Genomic DNA, 18,224 nt, shown 5'->3' on the forward strand with positions numbered 1-18,224 from the left:
CAAAGCACTGTTGCCTAAGTTTCCAAATATGTATGTTGGAGTTGGAGATATCTATGTATTTTAGCCCTCAGCACTGAAGTCGGCAACCATGGAGCTGAAGGTCCAGGTCTAGGAGTCACAGCGGGAGAAAAGCCACACGATCTTCCTAGGTCTCAGTTCATTTTTTCTGTAAATATTGGTAAGTGATATATTCCTTAGGGAAATCCTCTCTTCACATGTTTCTGGAATGTATAGCCAGTAACAAATTCTTAAGCAGCATAAAACAAATCAGACCTATCTTCTAAGCAAGTGTTTATTTTTAAGTCCCAAAATAAATACACATTTGTTCAAAACAATTAAAATAGCACCAAAATGCAGGACTCAGGAAATGTAAGCACCTCATAATCCCACACCTCAGAGATAAGCATTATTTTGTTTGTAATTATTCCTCTAGATCTTTCTATACAGATCCCTATGTAATAATAACAATATTCAATGTTCTGAAACTTTTTTTTTTTTTTGAGACCGACCTTCACTCACTCTGTCACCCAGGCTGGAGTGCAGTGGTGCAATCTTGGTTCACTGCAACCTCAGCCTCCCTGGTTCAAGTGATTCTCCTGCCTCTGCCTCCCGAGTAGCTGGGATTACAGGCGCCCGCCACCACACCCAAGTGATTTTTGTATTTTTAGTAGAGACGGAGTTTCACCATGTTGGCCAGACTGGTCTCAAACTCCTGACCTCAGGTGATCCACCCGCCTCGGCCTCCCAAAGTGTTGGGATTACAGGCATGAGCCACCGCCACTGCGCCCAGCCAAGAAACTTGTTTTTTAATGTAACAATGTATCTATCTTTCTATATCAGTACACATAGATCTACCTCATTCTTTCACCTGCTGCAAAATCTTGCTTTTACCTGAGAGCACATTTCTTTTTTTCCTTTCTTTTTTTTTTTTTGAGACAGAATCTCGCTCTCGCCCAGGCTGGAGTGGTGCAGTGGCCGGATCTCGGCTCACTGCAAACTCTGCCTCCCAGGTTCATGCCATTCTCCTGCCTCAGCCTCCTGAGTAGCTGGGACTACGGGGGCCTGCCACCATGCCCGGCTAATTTTTTTTTTTTTTTAGTAGAGACGGGGTTTCACCGTGTTATCCAGGATGGTCTCGATCTCCTGACCTCGTGATCTGCCCGCCTCGGCCTCCCAAAGTGCTGGATTACAGGCGACAGCGCATTTCTTGAAGAGACAGTCTGTGGTCTGTGGTTTTTCCGGAAAGCAGTTCTTTGTTGGGTGATGATCTTTCATCATGGAGGTGATTGCCTCAGTGGTTTCACTCTCAGACCCGCAGGGAAGATGCAGTTATTTGAATGGACTCTTTGTGGCAAGAAATAGAGAACTATCTCATCTCCTAAAAAAACATGTTTCTGGATGAAGAATTCTTTATTTCTTAATAAGTGGTTCTTTCAACTACCAGAGTCATCCTGTATGCCTTTCTAAAGTGATTTTTCTTTTGTCAGTTAGAATAAAGGGGACGCACAAATGTACTTTTCGTGTGAAAATGCAGACTGAGAGGTTTCAGTAGTGCACCTTCACTCTTTAAGACTCGGCTCAAATGTCCCCCTCCCTGGGTCATCTTCTGGATTCCTAGCCCACCCCACGCAGCGTTCTCCCATCTGCTTTGTGTTTTCATGGCACATGTCACCCTGTCCTCACTCATTACACTATGCTTATGCCTCCATCTCCTTCTGGAGACGGTCAGATCCACCCAAGTAGGATTGTCTTTTTATCCCTGGCACCTTACATGATGCCTGACACGTAAGTGTTTACTAAATATTCCGTGAATGATGGAATGAATAATAGAATATGCTAGATTCTCAGTCCTTGCTGGGCTTGTTATAGACCTCATTATTCATTCAGAGGCCCTCTTTCCTCTCCCTCCTGTGCCCTGGTGGCCATTTCCCTTCTCACTGGGCTCTGGAACTAGTTGAAAGTTTAATGGTGCCAAGCATCTGGTCAACAGGAAGACAGCAATCAAACTGGTGAAAACAGCAGCTTGATATGGCATGCAGGGAAGAACACTGGACTGGGGGCAGGAGGCCTGGGTTCTGGTCCTAGCTCTGTTACTAATTTATTTATCCATTCATTCACGCATTCAACAACATATAGCAACACTACGTTGCTGTATGTATACACACACACACACACACACACACACACACACACACACACGGGGGTGCGGGGCACTGTTCTGAGTCCTGCAGATATAGTGGTAAAGAAGAAAGACAATGTCTCAGCCCTTGTGGGACTTACCTCCCAGAGGCGAGATAGACAGACAGACAGGAAAAATACCTAATTAGAGTGGGTTGAGGAGGGAGAGTACCTATTTTTCCTGTCTATCTGTGTGACTCTCCTCTGGGAGGTTAGAAAAGAGAATAGGATGACGTGATAGGAAGTGAAGGGTGCCCACTTCGGTCTGGTGGTCAGGAAGAGTCTCTTTGAATACTGACATTTCAGCTGAGATGTGAGTGATGAATGGGAACCAGTCATTCAAACACCAAAGGAAGAGTGTTCCAGGAAGAACTGCCAGTGCAGGGGTCCTAAGGTGGGAACAGACATTAAGTTTTTAAGAAATGGAGAGACCAGTTTGGCTGGAGCAGAGGTGAGGAGGAAGTGAGTGTGGAGAGGTAGACAGAAACCAGAATCTATCTTGCTTTGAGGACCTTGAATTTTATTTCAAGTACAGTAGGAGTCATGGGAAGGTTTTAGGCAAGAGCATGACATGGTTATTTGGGCTTGACTATCAAGAATGGAGAATAAAATGGTTACAGATGGATCAGCTGAGGAGCCCCTGTGGTCATTTGGGAAATAGTTTGATGGTGGTTTGGGCTAGAGTGATTAGCATACAGATGGAGAGAAGTGGGCAAATTTGGAATGTGCTTTGGAGATAAAGTGGACAAGACTTGCTGATGGGCCGCAGGTGGAAGATGAGGAAAGCCGGGAATCGAGACTGGCTCTTAGATGTAAAGGTTGAAAAATCAGGTGAACGCACCTGCCAGCTGCTACAGATGGGAAGCCTGGAGGGTGAGTCTGGGAGAAGAACTCAAGTTCTTTATGGATAAGCTATGTTTGAGTTGCCCCATCAGACATCTAAGTGAAAATGTTAAGAAAGCAATTAGATATTCAAGTGAAGTTTGGGGGAAAATCAGGGCTGGAGATAGAGATTGGGAAGTCATCAGAACATACATGGTCTTCAAAGCCATGAGACTGGATGGGAACACTAAGGGAGGACATTTAGAAATGGAAAAAAAGGATGCCCAGGACAGATCCCTGGTACCCTCTAACCTTCAGAGACTGAGCAGAGAAGAAGGAGCCAAGAAAAGAGGCAGGGGGAGCAGGGAGGGCAGAAGTCCAGTTGGAGTGGGTTGAGGAGGGAAAGAGGAGGCAGCAATGCTCTTTACCTGTGAAGGAAAGTAGAGAAATAGTAGTTGAACAGAGACCTGCAGGTTAAGGGAGATGCTTAGAGCATGCACAGAGGGACGATCTAGTAGAGGAAAAATCTGCAGGAGAGAGGGGAGGGATCCAGAGTGCAGGTGGAGGTGCTGGCTTTGGAGAGAAAGGAAGGTTCTGTGTCTGTAGAAACAAGAGGAAGGCAGAGAGTAAACACCCAGATGAAGGAGCTGTGTAGATCAGGAAGAAGCTGAGACAGGATTTTCTCTTTGTGTGACTGTGGTCAAGTCATGTACTTTGCTGAGATGTGTGGGAGAAATAGGTCTGCTCTGATGATGGTGGAGGGTCTTTTCTGAACACATCCACTTGGCTAACAACACCTGCCTTAGCACCTGCTTTATTTGTAAGGGACACAGTGTGGTATCGGGGGAACCCGCCCCCAATATTTCAATGCAGGTTCTTTCTATTTTCCATAAGTGTCAGCCAGCTGAGAAATAAAGAGAAAGAGTACAAAGAGAGGAATTTTACAGCTGGGCTGCTGGGGGTGACATCACATATCAGTAGGAACGTGATGCCCACCCGAGCCTCAAACCAGCAAGTTTTTTATTAAGGGTTTCAAAAGGGGAGGGGATGTAAAGCAGGGAGTAGGTACAAAGATCACATGCTTCAAAAGGCAAAAAGCAGAACTACTAATAAGGGTCTAACAAAGATCACATGCCTCTGAGGGAACAGGACAAAGGGCAAAAGCAGAACCACAGATAAGGGTCTATGTTCAGCAGTGCACATATTGTCTTGATAAACATCTTAAACAACAGAAAACAGGGTTCAAGAGCAGAGAACCAGTCTGACCACAAATTTACCAAGGCAGAGCTTTTCCCCACCCTAATAAGCCTGAGGGTACTGCAGGAGACCAGGGCATATCTCAGTCCTTATCTCAACCGCATAAGACAGACATTCCCATAGCGGCTGTTTATAGATCTCCCCCCAGGAATGCATTCCTTTCCCAGGGTATTAATATTAATATTCCTTGCTAGGAAAAGAATTCAGCGATATCTTTCTTACTTGCACGTCCATTTATAGGCTCTCTGCAAGACGAAAAATGTGGCTCTTTTTGCCCAACCCCGCAGGCAGTCAGACCTTATGGTTGTCTTCCCTTGTTCCCTAAAAATCACTGTTATTCTGTTCTTTTTCAAGGTGCACTGATTTCATATTTTTCAAACACACATGTTTTACAATCAATTTGTACAGTTAACACAATTATCACAGTGGTCCTGAGGTGACGTATATCCTCAGCTTATGAAGATAACAGGATTAAGAGATTAAAGTAAAGACAGGCATAAGAAATTAGAAAAGTATTATTTGGGAACTGATAAATGTCCATGAAATCTTCACAATTTATGTTCCTCTGCTGCAGCTCCAGCTGGTCCCTCCATTCAGGGTCCCTGACTTCCCACAACAGTGTGGAAGGTGCAACCCAGAGCTTATTAGAATAATGACTCCTAACCACAGAATGCAGAATGCAACACATCAGGTCCTGTGTAGGTGCTTTCTGTACCTTAGCTCTAATTGTTGCTACACCCTAAAAGGCAGGCATGACTACTATTCCCATTAGAGGGATAAAAACACAGAGAGGGCCAGGTGCAGTGGCTCACGCCTATAATCCCAGCACTTTGGGAGGCGGAGGCAGGTGGATCACTTGAGGTCAGGAGTTCCAGACCAGCCTGGCCAACATGATGAAACTCCGTCTCTACTAAAAATACAAAAATTAGCAGGGGGTGGTGGCGGGCGCCTGTAATCCCAGCTCCTCGGGAGGCTGAGGCAGGAGAATCACTTGAACCCGGGAGGCGGAGGTTGCAGTGAGCCGAGATGGTGCCACTGTACTCCAGCCTGAGTGACAGAGTGAGACTCCAGTTCAAAAAACAAACAAACAAACAGAGGGGAGGGGGAGATGGCCATGCAACTTTTCTGAAGCGATGAAGTGAGAATTTAAACCCTGACCAAACTCATGCTTTTATCCATTACATTCTCTTACCCCAGCAGGGAGAGAAAGGAGTGAAAGGGCTCAGCTGGGAGATGGGCCAGGGGTTAATGCTCTCAGGTTAAATACCTGCCAGTCTTCCCAGCAGAACAAGGGGGCACCAACTGCTCACTAATTCCTAACAAGAGTTGAGGGCCGAGACGTCGGTAGCAGGCTCAGAGGCCAGTGTTCCAGACTCCCTGACCCTGACCTCCTGAAAGCAGAGGAATTGACCCATCTACTCAGTCCACAATCCAACAGTGCTGCCCACCACGTTTAGGAGTTGGGCGTCTCAACCAGTCACCAGTGCCCTGGCCAAATCCTCCACCAATTTACTGTGACCCTAAGCTTTTCCAGATGTTTACCGAGAAATAATATTTGCCTGGTGTTGCAATCCTGGATAAAGCAAGGTCAGTTCTTATGAATACTCTGAGGGCCAGCAGGGTTTCCTCCACACCTTCCCACATGGATGAAATTCAGTTTTCAAAGCAGAGGCAGCAAGATTTCTGTTTTGTTTTTCTTAGTTTCCTGAAATATTAAATTAGTAAAAAACACAAAAGCACAGGTGCAGGAATAAGGAGATGGGGTTCCTGTCCAAGGCCTCTCACTTCTTCGCTGAGTGACCTTGGAGAGTTTCCTAAGTTTTCAGCAAGAGGTTTGGCTGTCAGGTGTTGATCATCTGAAATCCATGGATGTCCATAGGAAGTTGGGTAGAATTGTTTTTCAAGATAATTGAATTCCTTTGTGATCTCATGTCTTTTATTTTATGTATTTATGGATATTTTTTTGCCAAGCTGTCAAAGGGGCACACGGCACAGAAAGGGTTGAAATGCTGCCAGAAGATCTGTGGGGTCCCAGCTTGACTCAACATTCTGTCATTTCCATTAGTGTCCCTTCTGGGATTGGGATTCTCTTAACCAAGTCCATCTGGGTGTGGAGGAATTAAGGGAAGTTTCTCAATGCTGGGTCAGAGGGGTCAATAAACAAGAGGCAATGGAACCATCGCAAGTGGGCTGGGGCCCAGGCCCCTGGAGGGAGACACCCAGGCTCTTGGGCCTCACATGCTGTCATCATCTGGGTAGCAGGGCTGTCACATCCACACACTCATAAGTGGAGTTGGGGACCACTCCTGAGAGGCAGGAGCAGGCTGCAGCCTGAGATGTCTTGGAAGCCATGTGCTGCCTCGAGAGAGAAAGGAGAAGGAGGGAGGGAGAGGATGGGAGCAGGAGAGGAACTGTGACCTGGACCATCCTCCTGTCTCTCACGTCATTTCCACTCCTACAACACGGTTTCTGATCAAAAAGTGTGACGTTAGGATAAGTTCTGGTTCAGAGAGGTATCACTGAGTGATCAGCCAGTATCAGATGTGGACACTCATTGTGCTAGGCAGTTTATGTGTGTTTCTCTCTTGTACCAGTAGAAACCATGTAAGGTACGTATGATGATAGCCATCTTCTGGGGGAGATAACAGGCTCACAGAGGTCAACGAGCTTGCTCCACATGGCATAGTGAGTGGCCTAACCGAGATTCACACCTGGATCTGTCTGGCTCCAAAAGATGTGTTTCTTGGTTTGTTAGACACTGACAAAGCTCTTCTGCACGCACTGTCTGTGAATGGGAGCTACTGGCCAGCCTCTCAGCCCAGTGTCAGCAATCCCTCTCCCTCTTGGACTGAGCCATGTCCAAATGTGAAGAACAGGATTTCTATGTCTTCACTGAAGTCTGTAAGAAAATGACCATGTTTTATGTATGTATGTCTGTATGTATTCACGATCTACTTTGTCAAAAGTGGTATTGTACTGTGTCTAGAGTTTGTGTGTGGCCTGGAAGGCTTCTTTTAAGTTTTCTGGAATTAGTATTTACCAGTGGCTCCTCATCAGGGCTATGTAAAGAGTATTACCAGGTTTGAGAATCACAGCGCCCTCCATTAAGAATGGCAAGGGTTTTTCACGGGCTACATCTCTTAGAGGGGCAAGTGGGTGGGTACAAGGAAGAGGAGGTGACTAAGAACCACAGATTTCACTGCTTTCCAGATTTGGAGGGGGGCTAAGAAATACAGTGGACCCACTACGTATTCTAGAATAGAGCAGTGCACCCCTGGATCCCATAGACCTTGTCTAGGGACTGAGAGCCCATTTCCAGAATTATTGGTTGAGTGAGATATTAATAGTAATCTTTGTGCTTTTCTTTTCCACACTTGTGTTAGTGACCCCTCCTCAGACCAGTGGTCCTTTACTCTGGCTACAAATACTTAACATTAAATGATAAACTTAGGCACATGAACATTTTAAAGAGTTTACTTGAGCAGACAGTGATTCATGAATCGAACAATAACACAACAAGTGGTTCAGGGCTCCAGCAAAGGGGTGCAAGGGAAAATCTTTTATAAGGTGCTCATGGAAGCAAGACAAAGAAAATATTTGATTGGTTAATGTGCAAAGTCCCTCGTTAGAGGTTAGTTTGTGGTTCCTAATTGGTTAATCTTAAATTTTGTTTTCCTAGGTTAAAACCATTCCTTCTGAGTTGGGTTTCAGTTGGTTACATAGGAACTCAAGGCCCTGGAGCCATCTCAGCCTAGTGGCCTCTCAATTAATTCTCTTAACAGTACTGATTCTAGGGCCGGGCATGATGGCTTACATCTGTAATCCCAGCACTTTGGGAGGCCGAGGTGGGCGGATCACGAGGTCAGGAGTTCAAGACCAGCCTGGCCAATATAGTGAAACCCTGTCTCTACTAAAAATACAAAAATTAGCCAGGCATGGTGGCACATGCCTGTAATCCCAGTTACTTGGGAGGCTGAGGCAGGAGAATCTCTTGAACCCAGAATGCGGAGTTTGCAGTGAGCCGAGATTGCACCACTGCACTCCAGCCTGGCGACAGAGTGAGACTCTGTCACAAAAAAAAAAAAAAAAAATTAGCCAGGCATGGTGGTGCATGCCTGTAAACCCTGCTACTCGGGAGACTGGGGCAGGAGAATTGCTTGAACCCAGGAGGTGGAGGTTGCAGTGAGCGGAGATCACACCACTGCACTCCAGCCTGGGCGACAAAGCAAGACTCCATCTCAAAAAAAAAAAGAACTTACAGGCCGGGCGCGGTGGCTCACGCCTGTAATCCCAGCACTTTGGGAGGCCAAGGCAGGCGGATCACAAGGTCAGATGGAGACCATCCTGGCCAACATGGTGAAACCCCGTCTCTACTAAAAAATACAAAAATTAGCCAGGCTTGGTGGTGGGCGCCTGTAATCTCAGCTACTTGGGAGGCTGAGATAGGAGAATCACTTGGACCCGGGAGGTGGAGGTTGCAGTGAGCCGAGACTGCGCTATTGCACTCCAGCCTGGGTGACAGAGTAAGATGCCGTTGCCCCCCACCCCCAAAAAAAGAACCTACCGTATGGCATGAAGCACTGTGTGTTCATTTACTACTCCTTACAGCAACCCTGGGAAGAGGGTCGCCCTCTATTATGCCCATCTCTAATTCACTTCCTTCAGTACCCACATACTGTGAGTTTCCACATCCTGTCCATTCAGACTCCAATATTTCTACTCTGTCCCCTCTCTCCTGCCTCAGTGGCAATGCATGAGCTCAGGCTACCATCTAATTTGACATGAGGAGGTATGAGATCCACTAAGCTCACCACACATGTCACAGCCTTCAAGGGAGCCGCATTAGGACCTGGGTTTGGATTGAAGGGAATTTCTCTGTCGAGCCATAATTTTGAGACTGACTGAGATTCTCTGGATACTTCTTTCTGTGTCTCCCAACCCCAGGCCTAAATCTTTGACATGTTCTCAGAAAGTAATGTTTTATTAGTTTAACATTTACTGAGTACTTCCTGAGGACCAGGCATTTTTCTAGATACCCAGAAGATGTGGGGTACAAAATAATACCTTGTCCTTGTGGAGTTTGCTATTCTAGCTCCTTTTCCCTCTGAATAGTTGCTCCAGTCTCCTGCCTGTAGCCTCAGTAATGATCCCTCTTTCTCTGGGAGCAGGGGATTGCCAAGTAGTCTTTATACCAGAAGCTGGACATGGTCATTAACTAGACAAACTCCCCAAGAGTCAGGAATTCTGCATCCTGTCCTGACAGGGCCTGGGCAACTCTGTTCTGCCCATCCAGGGGCAGTAAGTGGTCTCTTATGTACCCCCCTCCTTTGGCCACCTCCACTCAAGAGAAGGGCAAGGTTAGGGACTCTTGGCGTCTTAGGTGCCCAGCTCAGCCATGCAGCATAGCACCCTGGGTACCTTGAGACCACAGAGGGACCCTGGTCTCCAGGACAAAAAGCCTATGGACTTAAGGTAGGACAGGGATCTTTCTGTTTTTGGTGTCATGAGAACTCAAGTAGACGTGACTTAGATTCATTTTGCCTTTAATGATCAAATGTCTGCTTCCCTGGTACATTCTGTTTCTTTGAACTGGGCTGCTTTGATATAGTTAGAAATAACAAAAATTTAGGAAATCAAACAAACTCAACTTTTAAAAGCAAAATATGTGACAGAAAGATTTGGCTCAGTGAATGTGCTTCAAATAGGAAAAGTTCGATCATAAATAGAAGGCTTACGATTTTAAGGGCCAAGAGGCTCATCTGAAGAATGGCTCCTGGGCCTTTCACAGCCCTAAGGAGTGAACACACACTTTGACATTTTTCTCCGTAATTTGGTCTGAGATGGTCATGTTGTCATAAATTCCAGGCTGAGAATTTCACTTTCTTGAAAGTTACCCTAACTCACTCAGAAGGACCCAGCTGATGAGTGGCCTGAAGATTTAGGTATCAACATAACCCACTCCCCAACACCCCCCCAGGCCTGTGTCTTCATTCTCCTATCCAAGGATCAGGGCTGTGGAAGTCCCCAGAGGCAGGTGCCTCCATGTGAGCGGAAGTGACTAGGTTTCCCAGAACCCTCTGCTGTAGGAGGGCTGTTTGGGAAGATGTCCATGGACTGCTTAGGGAATTATTACAAGTTCTGTTGCAGGGATGCGCTTGGGTGGGCTGGCTTCAGCTGAGGCTCTGAGGGACTTGGTTTGAAAAGGAGGAGAAGGAAAAGTAAAAAATAAACAAACCCAACCAAAAATTAAAAAAAAAAAACCACCCAAACAACGGTACAAAGGAAGCACTGTCCCTGTGAGCAGATGCAGATGGAGTGGTAGGGTCAGCCCAGCCCAGGTCACTGTCCCAGGCCCCCCAAAGCATTTGTGATGGGCTGGGAGGAAACACATCTCTGGTCCAGGGACAGCGTGGGACTAGGAAGAGGCCCAGGGGATAAATGACCACATTAGGACATCCTGCAGAACAGAGAGAGGGCCACAGGCTTTAGATTTGGAAATCGGAGGAGCAGAGGGTGCTTTCCACTTCTACTAATGGAACCCTGCCATGTAGACTGGCAAGTAGACTAATTCACGTGGCATAGTGAACATTCCAGCTGAAATTATATAGCTCAACTTCTGGCCGGGCGTGGTGGCTCACACCTGTAATCCCAGCACTTTGGAAGGCTGAGGCAGGCGGATCACGAGGTCAGGAGATTGAGACCATCCTGGCCAACATGGTGAAACTCCGTCTCTACTAAAATACAAAAAATTAGCCAGTCGTGGTGGCACATGCCTGAAGTCCCAGCTACTCAGGAGGCTGAGGCAGGGGAATCTCTTGAACCCCGGAGTCAGAGGTTGCAGTGAGCTGAGATCGTGCCACTGCACTCCAGCCTGGCAACACAGCAAGACTCCATCTCAAAAAAAAACAAAAAAATTTTACAGCTCAACTTCTAACTATATCAACCAACTGGACAACTGCCAAATCTCCCGGTCTCACTGGGATCCATGGACACAGCTGTAGGTTTCACTGTCAGGAGGCTGCCTGAGATCTGTGTCTACTTCTAACATATATGATCTCACTTGCACGTAGAGAGTTGGATAGACTACACGCTCTTTAAGGCCCTTTATGTTTCTAAGCATCTGTGATTTAATACAGATCCAGAGCTAAACACTATTAGGGACAAACCATGCTGTGAATGTCACTGGGTGGACAGCAGGGGAAGGAAGAACTCACAGACTAAACTCACCCTCTATGTTGCAAGACCCTACCCAGATCCTCTGAGACTCTTGGGAATGAGGCAGTTTGCAGGCTTCTCTTGACAATGTTATAACCAACTAAGATAGATCCTATTTTGTCTTATTTCACTTTTGGTATCTTGATAGGTCATTATTATCCACACCAAGAGACTGAATCTGTGAGAATCTCATAACAGTTCAGTTAAGGAATCCTCTTCAAGTCAGGGCTTATGGAAAGAGCACAGGTCTGTGAGCCAAGACATGAGGGTTCTAGGCCCAGCTTAAGTCATCAACTTGCCTCTGGCCTTGGCAATGCATCCCCTTTGCCAGGATCCAAGCTTTATCTCTTTCTCGCTACTTTCACATCCTGTAACTGTATTGCAGTACCAAGAACAGGAAAAGACAGGTCCCTAGCAAGGTCGAAGAAGAGATGGAGTCAGCATGGAAAGTTAGGGGAGGGTCATATTAGCCTGGGAACAATTCAAACCCTTGGACCCCTAATAACTCTGCTTGAATCTTTAAATGTTTGATGTCCACTGGCTGCTTTCCATCTTCCAAACCATCAGCTCTCACCAGGGCCTGAGGGCCTCCTGGAAGCACCAAGACTCACTGGGTCCCCATTTCTTTTCCGCATATGCACTCACCATTGGGAAGCAGAGCCAGAGAGACAGAGCATGGCATGAGGAAGGAGGCCACGTGCAGAGTGCAGTTGGGGAAGATGCTTCTATTTTGAAACTGCTGCAGGCCCCCAGCCTCAGTACCAGGGGAAGACCACACTCCTGGGTAAATAGCATCTGCTATTTTCCTTAGATGAAACTGCTTATCTGAAACAGGAAATGCAAAACACAGATTCTATTTTTCTGCACTATGTGTCTCTGATGGGAATAATAATAGTTGTGCAACCTAGAGTGTGATTATTAAACCTATCTTACGGTCACAAAGGAGCTGTAAGGAAGCCAAGAGGCACAGACCCCCGAGGGAGGATTTGGAGGTTTTACAAATTCCAAACGATTTTGCAGAGGAACTGGAGTAACCTACCACAGAGCAGAAGAGACGGACTCAAACTCCAAGTGCATCTGGTCTTCGTGGAGTTTGTCTTGAAACCAGAAGAATTTCCTCCGTGTGTTGTTCTCAGTCTTATCCATACAAGATTGTTCAACACTCAATCTAGAGGACATTTGTTGGATATAAATGTCTGTCTCCCTATAGCACAAAATAACTAGGACATTATTCCATGGAACATTCCATGCGTCCATAGAATAGTTTATTCCATGATCCAAATGGTCTGATTGATTCTTCCACCAAATTCCATAACTAATTACTCTCTGTGTGTGTGTGTGTGTGTGTGTGTGTGTGTGTGTGTGTGTGTGTGTTTGGGGGTGTGGTACTGATTAGCCAAGAGCTGAAGCCCTTGAGCTCCGGGAGAAAAGCACCCTTTTCTGAAAGCTTCTCATGGTGGGATCAGAGCCAGCCTTAGGATTTTAGTGACAGGTCTGAGACCAATATCAAGAGGGAAGAAAGAAGGGTCTGGATGATTTTGAAGCTATTTTTGTGGGAAAACGAGATGACTCTCTCATGCAGTACCAACCAGACCTGGAACTCAGGCACACACATACAGTGCTCCTATTATTCTTCCCTCAGAAGGAGGCTGGTCCTCTCTCCTCCACATGCTTCTAGTGCAGTGAGGGTCCATTCCTGACTCTCCCTCTGTCTCCACCCCTCACACCTCTCTCTGACACGGCCCTTGAGGCTCATTTCACCCATTTTTGCCTGGGTGAAAATAATGGAGGAGGGCAGTGATCCTGCCCCACACCTGACCCCCACCCATCAGCCCTTGCAGGGCTGAACAAGCTGAACTTGGGGATGAGATAAGAAAGAGTCCTGAGAAAAGAGGAGAAGCAGAGGAAGACCAGAGTTATAACTTGGGGACAAAAGTGACCTTGCCTCTTTTTTTTTTTTTAATTTTGTATTTTTATTTTATTTTATTTTATTTTTTTGCAAATAGTGGGATCATAATCTTTTTTGTTTGTTTGTTTGTTTGTTTGTTTTTTATTGATCATTCTTGGGTGTTTCTCGCAGAGGGGGATTTGGCAGGGTCATAGGACAATAATGGAGGGAAGGTCAGCAGATAAACAAGTGAACAAAGGTCTCTGGTTTTCCTAGACAGAGGACCCTGCGGCCTTCCGCAGTGTTTGTGTCCCTGGGTACTTGAGATTAGGGAGTGGTGATGACTCTTAACGAGCATGCTGCCTTCAAGCATCTGTTTAACAAAGCACATCTTGCACCGACCTTAATCCATTTAACCCTGAGTGGACACAGCACATGTTTCAGAGAGCACAGGGTTGGGGGCAAGGTCATAGATCAACAGCATCCCAAGGCAGAAGAATCTTTCTTAGTACAGAACAAAATGGAGTCTCCTATGTCTACCTCTTTCTACACAGACACAGCAACAGTCTGATTTCTCTATCTTTTCACCACATTTCCCCCTTTTCTATTCCACAAAACCGCCATCATCATCATGGCCTGTTCTCAGTGAGCTGTTAGGTACACCTCCCAGACGGGGTGGCGGCCTGGCAGAGGGGCTCCTCACTTCCCAGACAGGGCAGCCGGGCGGAGGCGCCCCCCACCTCCCTCCCGGACGGGGCGGCTGCCGGGCGGAGACGCTCCTCACTTCCCAGACGGGGCGGCTGCCGGGCGGAGGGGCTCCTCACTTCTCAGATGGGGCGGCTGGGCAGAGACGCTCCTCACCTCCCAGACGGGGTCGTGGCCGGGCAGAGGCGCTCCTCACATCCCAGATGGGGCGGCGGGGCAGAGGCGCTCCCCACATCTCAGACGATGGGCGGCCGGGAAGAGGCGCTCCTCACTTCCCAGACTGGGCAGCCGGGCAGAGGGGCTCCTCACATCCCAGACAATGGGCATCCAGGCAGAGACGCTCCTCACTTCCCAGACGGGGTGGCGGCCGGGCAGAGGCTGCAGTCTCGGCACTTTAGGAGGCCAAGGCAGGCGGCTGGGAGGTGGAGGTTGTAGCGAGCCGAGATCACGCCACTGCACTTCAGCCTGGGCAACATTGAGCACTGACTGAGCGAGACTCCATCTGCAATCCCGGCACCTCGGGAGGCCGAGGCTGGCAGATCACTCGTGGTTAGGAGCTGGAGTCCAGCCCGGCTAACACAGCGAAACCCCGTCTCCACCAAAAAAATACGAAAACCACTCAGGCGTGGCGGCGCGCGCCTGCAATCGCAGTCACTCGGCAAGCTGAGGCGGGAGAATCAGGCAGGGAGGTTGCAGTGAGCCGAGATGGCAGCAGTACAGTCCAGCTTCGGCTTGGCATTAGAGGGAGACCGTGGAAAGAGAGGGAGAGGGAGAGGGAGAGGGAGAGGGAGACCTTGGGGAGAGGGAGAGGAAGAGGGAGAGGGAGAGGAAGAGGGAGAGAGAGAGGGAGCGACCTTGCCTCTTGTTGATTCCACATTCCCTTCCTTTGGGAAGATTTACATTCTCTATTTTATAGTAATCTGCCCAGTCCATATGGTTGGATGAGACTGGCTGGCTTTATCCTCTACCACCACTGCAGGGGGCAGGTGCATTACCCAGCCTGGACCCTTAGAGCAATCCCTCAGGCAGGACCCTGCATCCAGAGTGGTCAATCTTCCCTCAGATGTTTGCTGAATCTTTCAGGGAATACTCTCTTTTTCTTCCTTCAGTCACTACCATGAAGGACCTTGTCCACCCAGAACTTCCAGGGACCACATTTCAGGTAAGAGCCTTTTTGAGAATAAAGCAAAACAGAGGAACCATGGATCTATCACGGAACCCTTGGATCCATCTGTCCCTCAGGCAGAACCACCAGTTACTAATACAGGTGCATAGAAAGGAGGAGATCAGCCTGAGCACGGTGGCTCACGCCTGTAATTCCAACACTTTGGGAGGCCGAGGCGGGTGGATCACCTGAGGTCAGGAGTTTGAGACCAGCCTGGCCAACATGGTGAAACCCTGTCTCTACTAAAAATGCAAAATTAGCTGGGTGTAGTGGTCCATGCCTGTAATCCCAGCTACTTGGGAGGCCGAGGCAGGAGAATCACTTGAACCCAGGAGGCGGAAGTTGCAGCAAGCTGAGATCCCACCACTGCACTCCAGCCTGGGTAACAGAGTGAGACTCTGTATCAAAAAAAACAAAACAAAACAAAACAAAAAAAAAAACTAGAAAGGAGGAGATCAGAGGTGAATGTCCTCATCTTCTGGTGATGCTGTGACCAAAACTCAAAAGGACACGATGGAGAACCAGGAAAACCAGTGCTGTAATTCATTCCAGGCCTAAAGGCCCAAGAACCAGGAGCTCTGATGTTGAAGGGCAGGGGAAGATGGGCATCCCAGCTCAAGAGGAGAGGCAGAATTCATCCTTCCTCCACCCTTTTGCTCCTTTGGGCCCTCCATGGATTGGGTGATGCCTGTCTACATTGGTAAGGGTGATTTTCTTTACTCAATCAAATGATTCAAATGCAAATCTTTTCCAGAAACACCCTCACAGACACGCCCAGAAATAAATTCTTAGCAGCAATCTGGGCATTTCCTAGCCCAAGTGTTACTGGAAAGGGGTCCCGATCCAGACCCCAAGAAAGGGCTCTTGGATCTCATGCAAGAAAGAATTCAAGGTGAATCCATAGAGTAAAGTAAAAGCAACCTTACTAAGAAAGTAAAGGCATAAAGAATGGCTATCCCATAGACAGAGTGGCCCCAAGGCCTGCTGGTTGGCTATTTTTATGATTATTTCTTGATTATATGCTAAACAAGGGGTGGATTATTCACGAGTTTTCTGGGAAAGGGGTGGGCAATTCCCAGAACTGAGGGTTTCTCTCCTTTTTAGACCATATAGGGTAACTTCCTGACATTGCCATGGCATTTGTAAACTGTCATGGTGCCTGTGGGAGTGTCTTTTAGCATGCTAATGCATTGTAATTAGCATACAATGAGCAGTGAGGATGACCAGAGGTCATATTTGTAGCCATCTTGGTTTTGTCGGCTTCTTTACCACAATCTGTTTTATCAGCAAGGTCTTTGTGACCTGTATCTGTGCTGACCTCCTATCTCATGATGTGACTTAGAATGCTTAACCTCCTGGGAATGCAGCCCAGTAGGTCTCAGCCTTGTTTTACTCAGCGCTTATTCTAGATGGAGTCGCTCTGGTTTAAACACCTCTGATACAAGTTCACACATAAAATTAATTATCATAGTGGTTATGGAAGATTGAGATCATTCTAGACTTTGGTGAACTAAATTTTATAAGTTTCCTCCAGCCCTAATTATTGGCAGAGGTGTAAAAAAGACTACTAATAAGGAGGGAAAATAATTAAGGAAAAGAAATGTTAGTTTTGTGAGATTGTACCTTTTTGGTTTGGCCTTGAATTTAGTGCTTCTTAAAAGAGTGTGGAAGAAAAGGAAAGACCCTTATCTGTATTGTGAAAGGAAAATAAATCTTGGGGCCCCAGAATCATGAAGCTAAAGGGAAAAGTCAAGCTGGGAACGGCTTAAGGCAAACCTGCCTCCCGTTCTATTCAAAGTCACCCCTCTGCTCACTGAGATAAATGCATATCTGATTGCCTCCTTTGGAGAGGCTCATCAGAAACTCAACAGAATGTAACCATTTGTCTCTCACCCACCTGTGACCTGGAAGCCCCCTCCCCACTTGAGTTGTCCCACCTTTCTGAATGGAACTGATGTGCATCTTACATATATTGACTGATGTCTCATGTCTCTCTCGAATGCATAAAACCAAGCTATGCCCTGACCACCTTGGGCATGTGTTGTCAGGACCTCCTGAGGCTGTGTTACGAGTGTGTGGCCTGTGGCCTCAACCTTTGCAAAATAAACTTTCTAAATTAACTGAGACCTGTCTCAGATATTTGGAGTTCACATTTTGGTAACCACAGAGGGATTCTGAGTGGAGGTGCTTCTGACCTTTGCCAAATCTCCAACTGGTGCTTGGTACCAGCTTGAGCTATCTTTATGGCTCAAATCAACAGGACAATTTGCTGAGGCCTGGAAGGACCCTCTCCAGAGAATTCCTGATTTCCCAAAATTCAGTCATGATCTAAAGTTTATTTTGCTGTACAAGTCCTTTTTTTTTTTTTTTTTTTGGAGTTTTACTTGCTTCCAACACAAGGAAGGTAAGTTTTTCCTGCTTCTATGAAGATGGAAGGCAGGTAACTCCTTTATGGAGTTTGAACTCGCTTCCAACAGGGAAAACAAATTTCAGATTTCTCCTGCTTCTAGGATGGAGAGCAGTCTTCAGCCTGAGTCCCATCCCTAGGTAAGTAACTGAATTGGGGTTTGTCTTGGCTAAAGTTAAGATTAACAACCAGCTGGTCTTAATTTCTCCTTACCATTAGAGCACTCAGTGATCATATAAGTTGTGCCATCATTTGTTTTGCTTAACTGGTTTTTCTGTTGTTGTTTTGTTTGTTTCTGTTTTTGTTGTTGTTTTGGTCTTTTCCCCATTGGGTTTGATCAACTCTATCTGACTTGGTCAAATCTGAAGGAAAGTTCCAAATTATGGGGAACAAGGCCTCTGAAGTGGCTAAATTCCCACAAGAAAAAAAAAAAAAAAGAAAGGCCAGGCACAGTGGTTCATGCCTGTAATCCCAGCACTTTGGGAGGCTAAGGTGGGCAGATCACGAGGTCAGGAGATGGAGACCATCCTGGCTAACATGGTGAAACCCCATCTCTACTAAAAATACGAAAAAAAATTAGCCAGGCG

At 46.8% G+C, this 18,224-nt stretch overlaps 3 annotated features.

Annotated features, from left to right (window-relative positions):
• Positions 11,141-11,310: an enhancer, noted in NCBI's record as "experimental_67528 CRE fragment used in MPRA reporter constructs". NCBI's record gives its function as "activates a minimal promoter by MPRAs in K562 erythroleukemia cells, with activity observed for both the introgressed and non-introgressed 3:195323732 or rs7653544 variant alleles {active_cell/tissue: K562}" and the evidence as "EXISTENCE:reporter gene assay evidence [ECO:0000049][PMID:34662402]".
• Position 11,226: a transcriptional cis regulatory region, noted in NCBI's record as "Neanderthal adaptively introgressed variant 3:195323732 (GRCh37/hg19 assembly coordinates) or rs7653544 in the experimental_67528 CRE". NCBI's record gives its function as "modulates activity of the experimental_67528 enhancer by MPRAs in K562 erythroleukemia cells {active_cell/tissue: K562}" and the evidence as "EXISTENCE:reporter gene assay evidence [ECO:0000049][PMID:34662402]".
• Positions 15,096-15,265: an enhancer, noted in NCBI's record as "experimental_67532 CRE fragment used in MPRA reporter constructs". NCBI's record gives its function as "activates a minimal promoter by MPRAs in K562 erythroleukemia cells, with activity observed for the non-introgressed 3:195327687 variant allele {active_cell/tissue: K562}" and the evidence as "EXISTENCE:reporter gene assay evidence [ECO:0000049][PMID:34662402]".

The sequence above is a fragment of the Homo sapiens genome, chromosome 3, assembly GCF_000001405.40.
Source record: "Homo sapiens chromosome 3, GRCh38.p14 Primary Assembly".
Classification (NCBI taxonomy): Eukaryota; Metazoa; Chordata; class Mammalia; order Primates; family Hominidae; genus Homo; species Homo sapiens.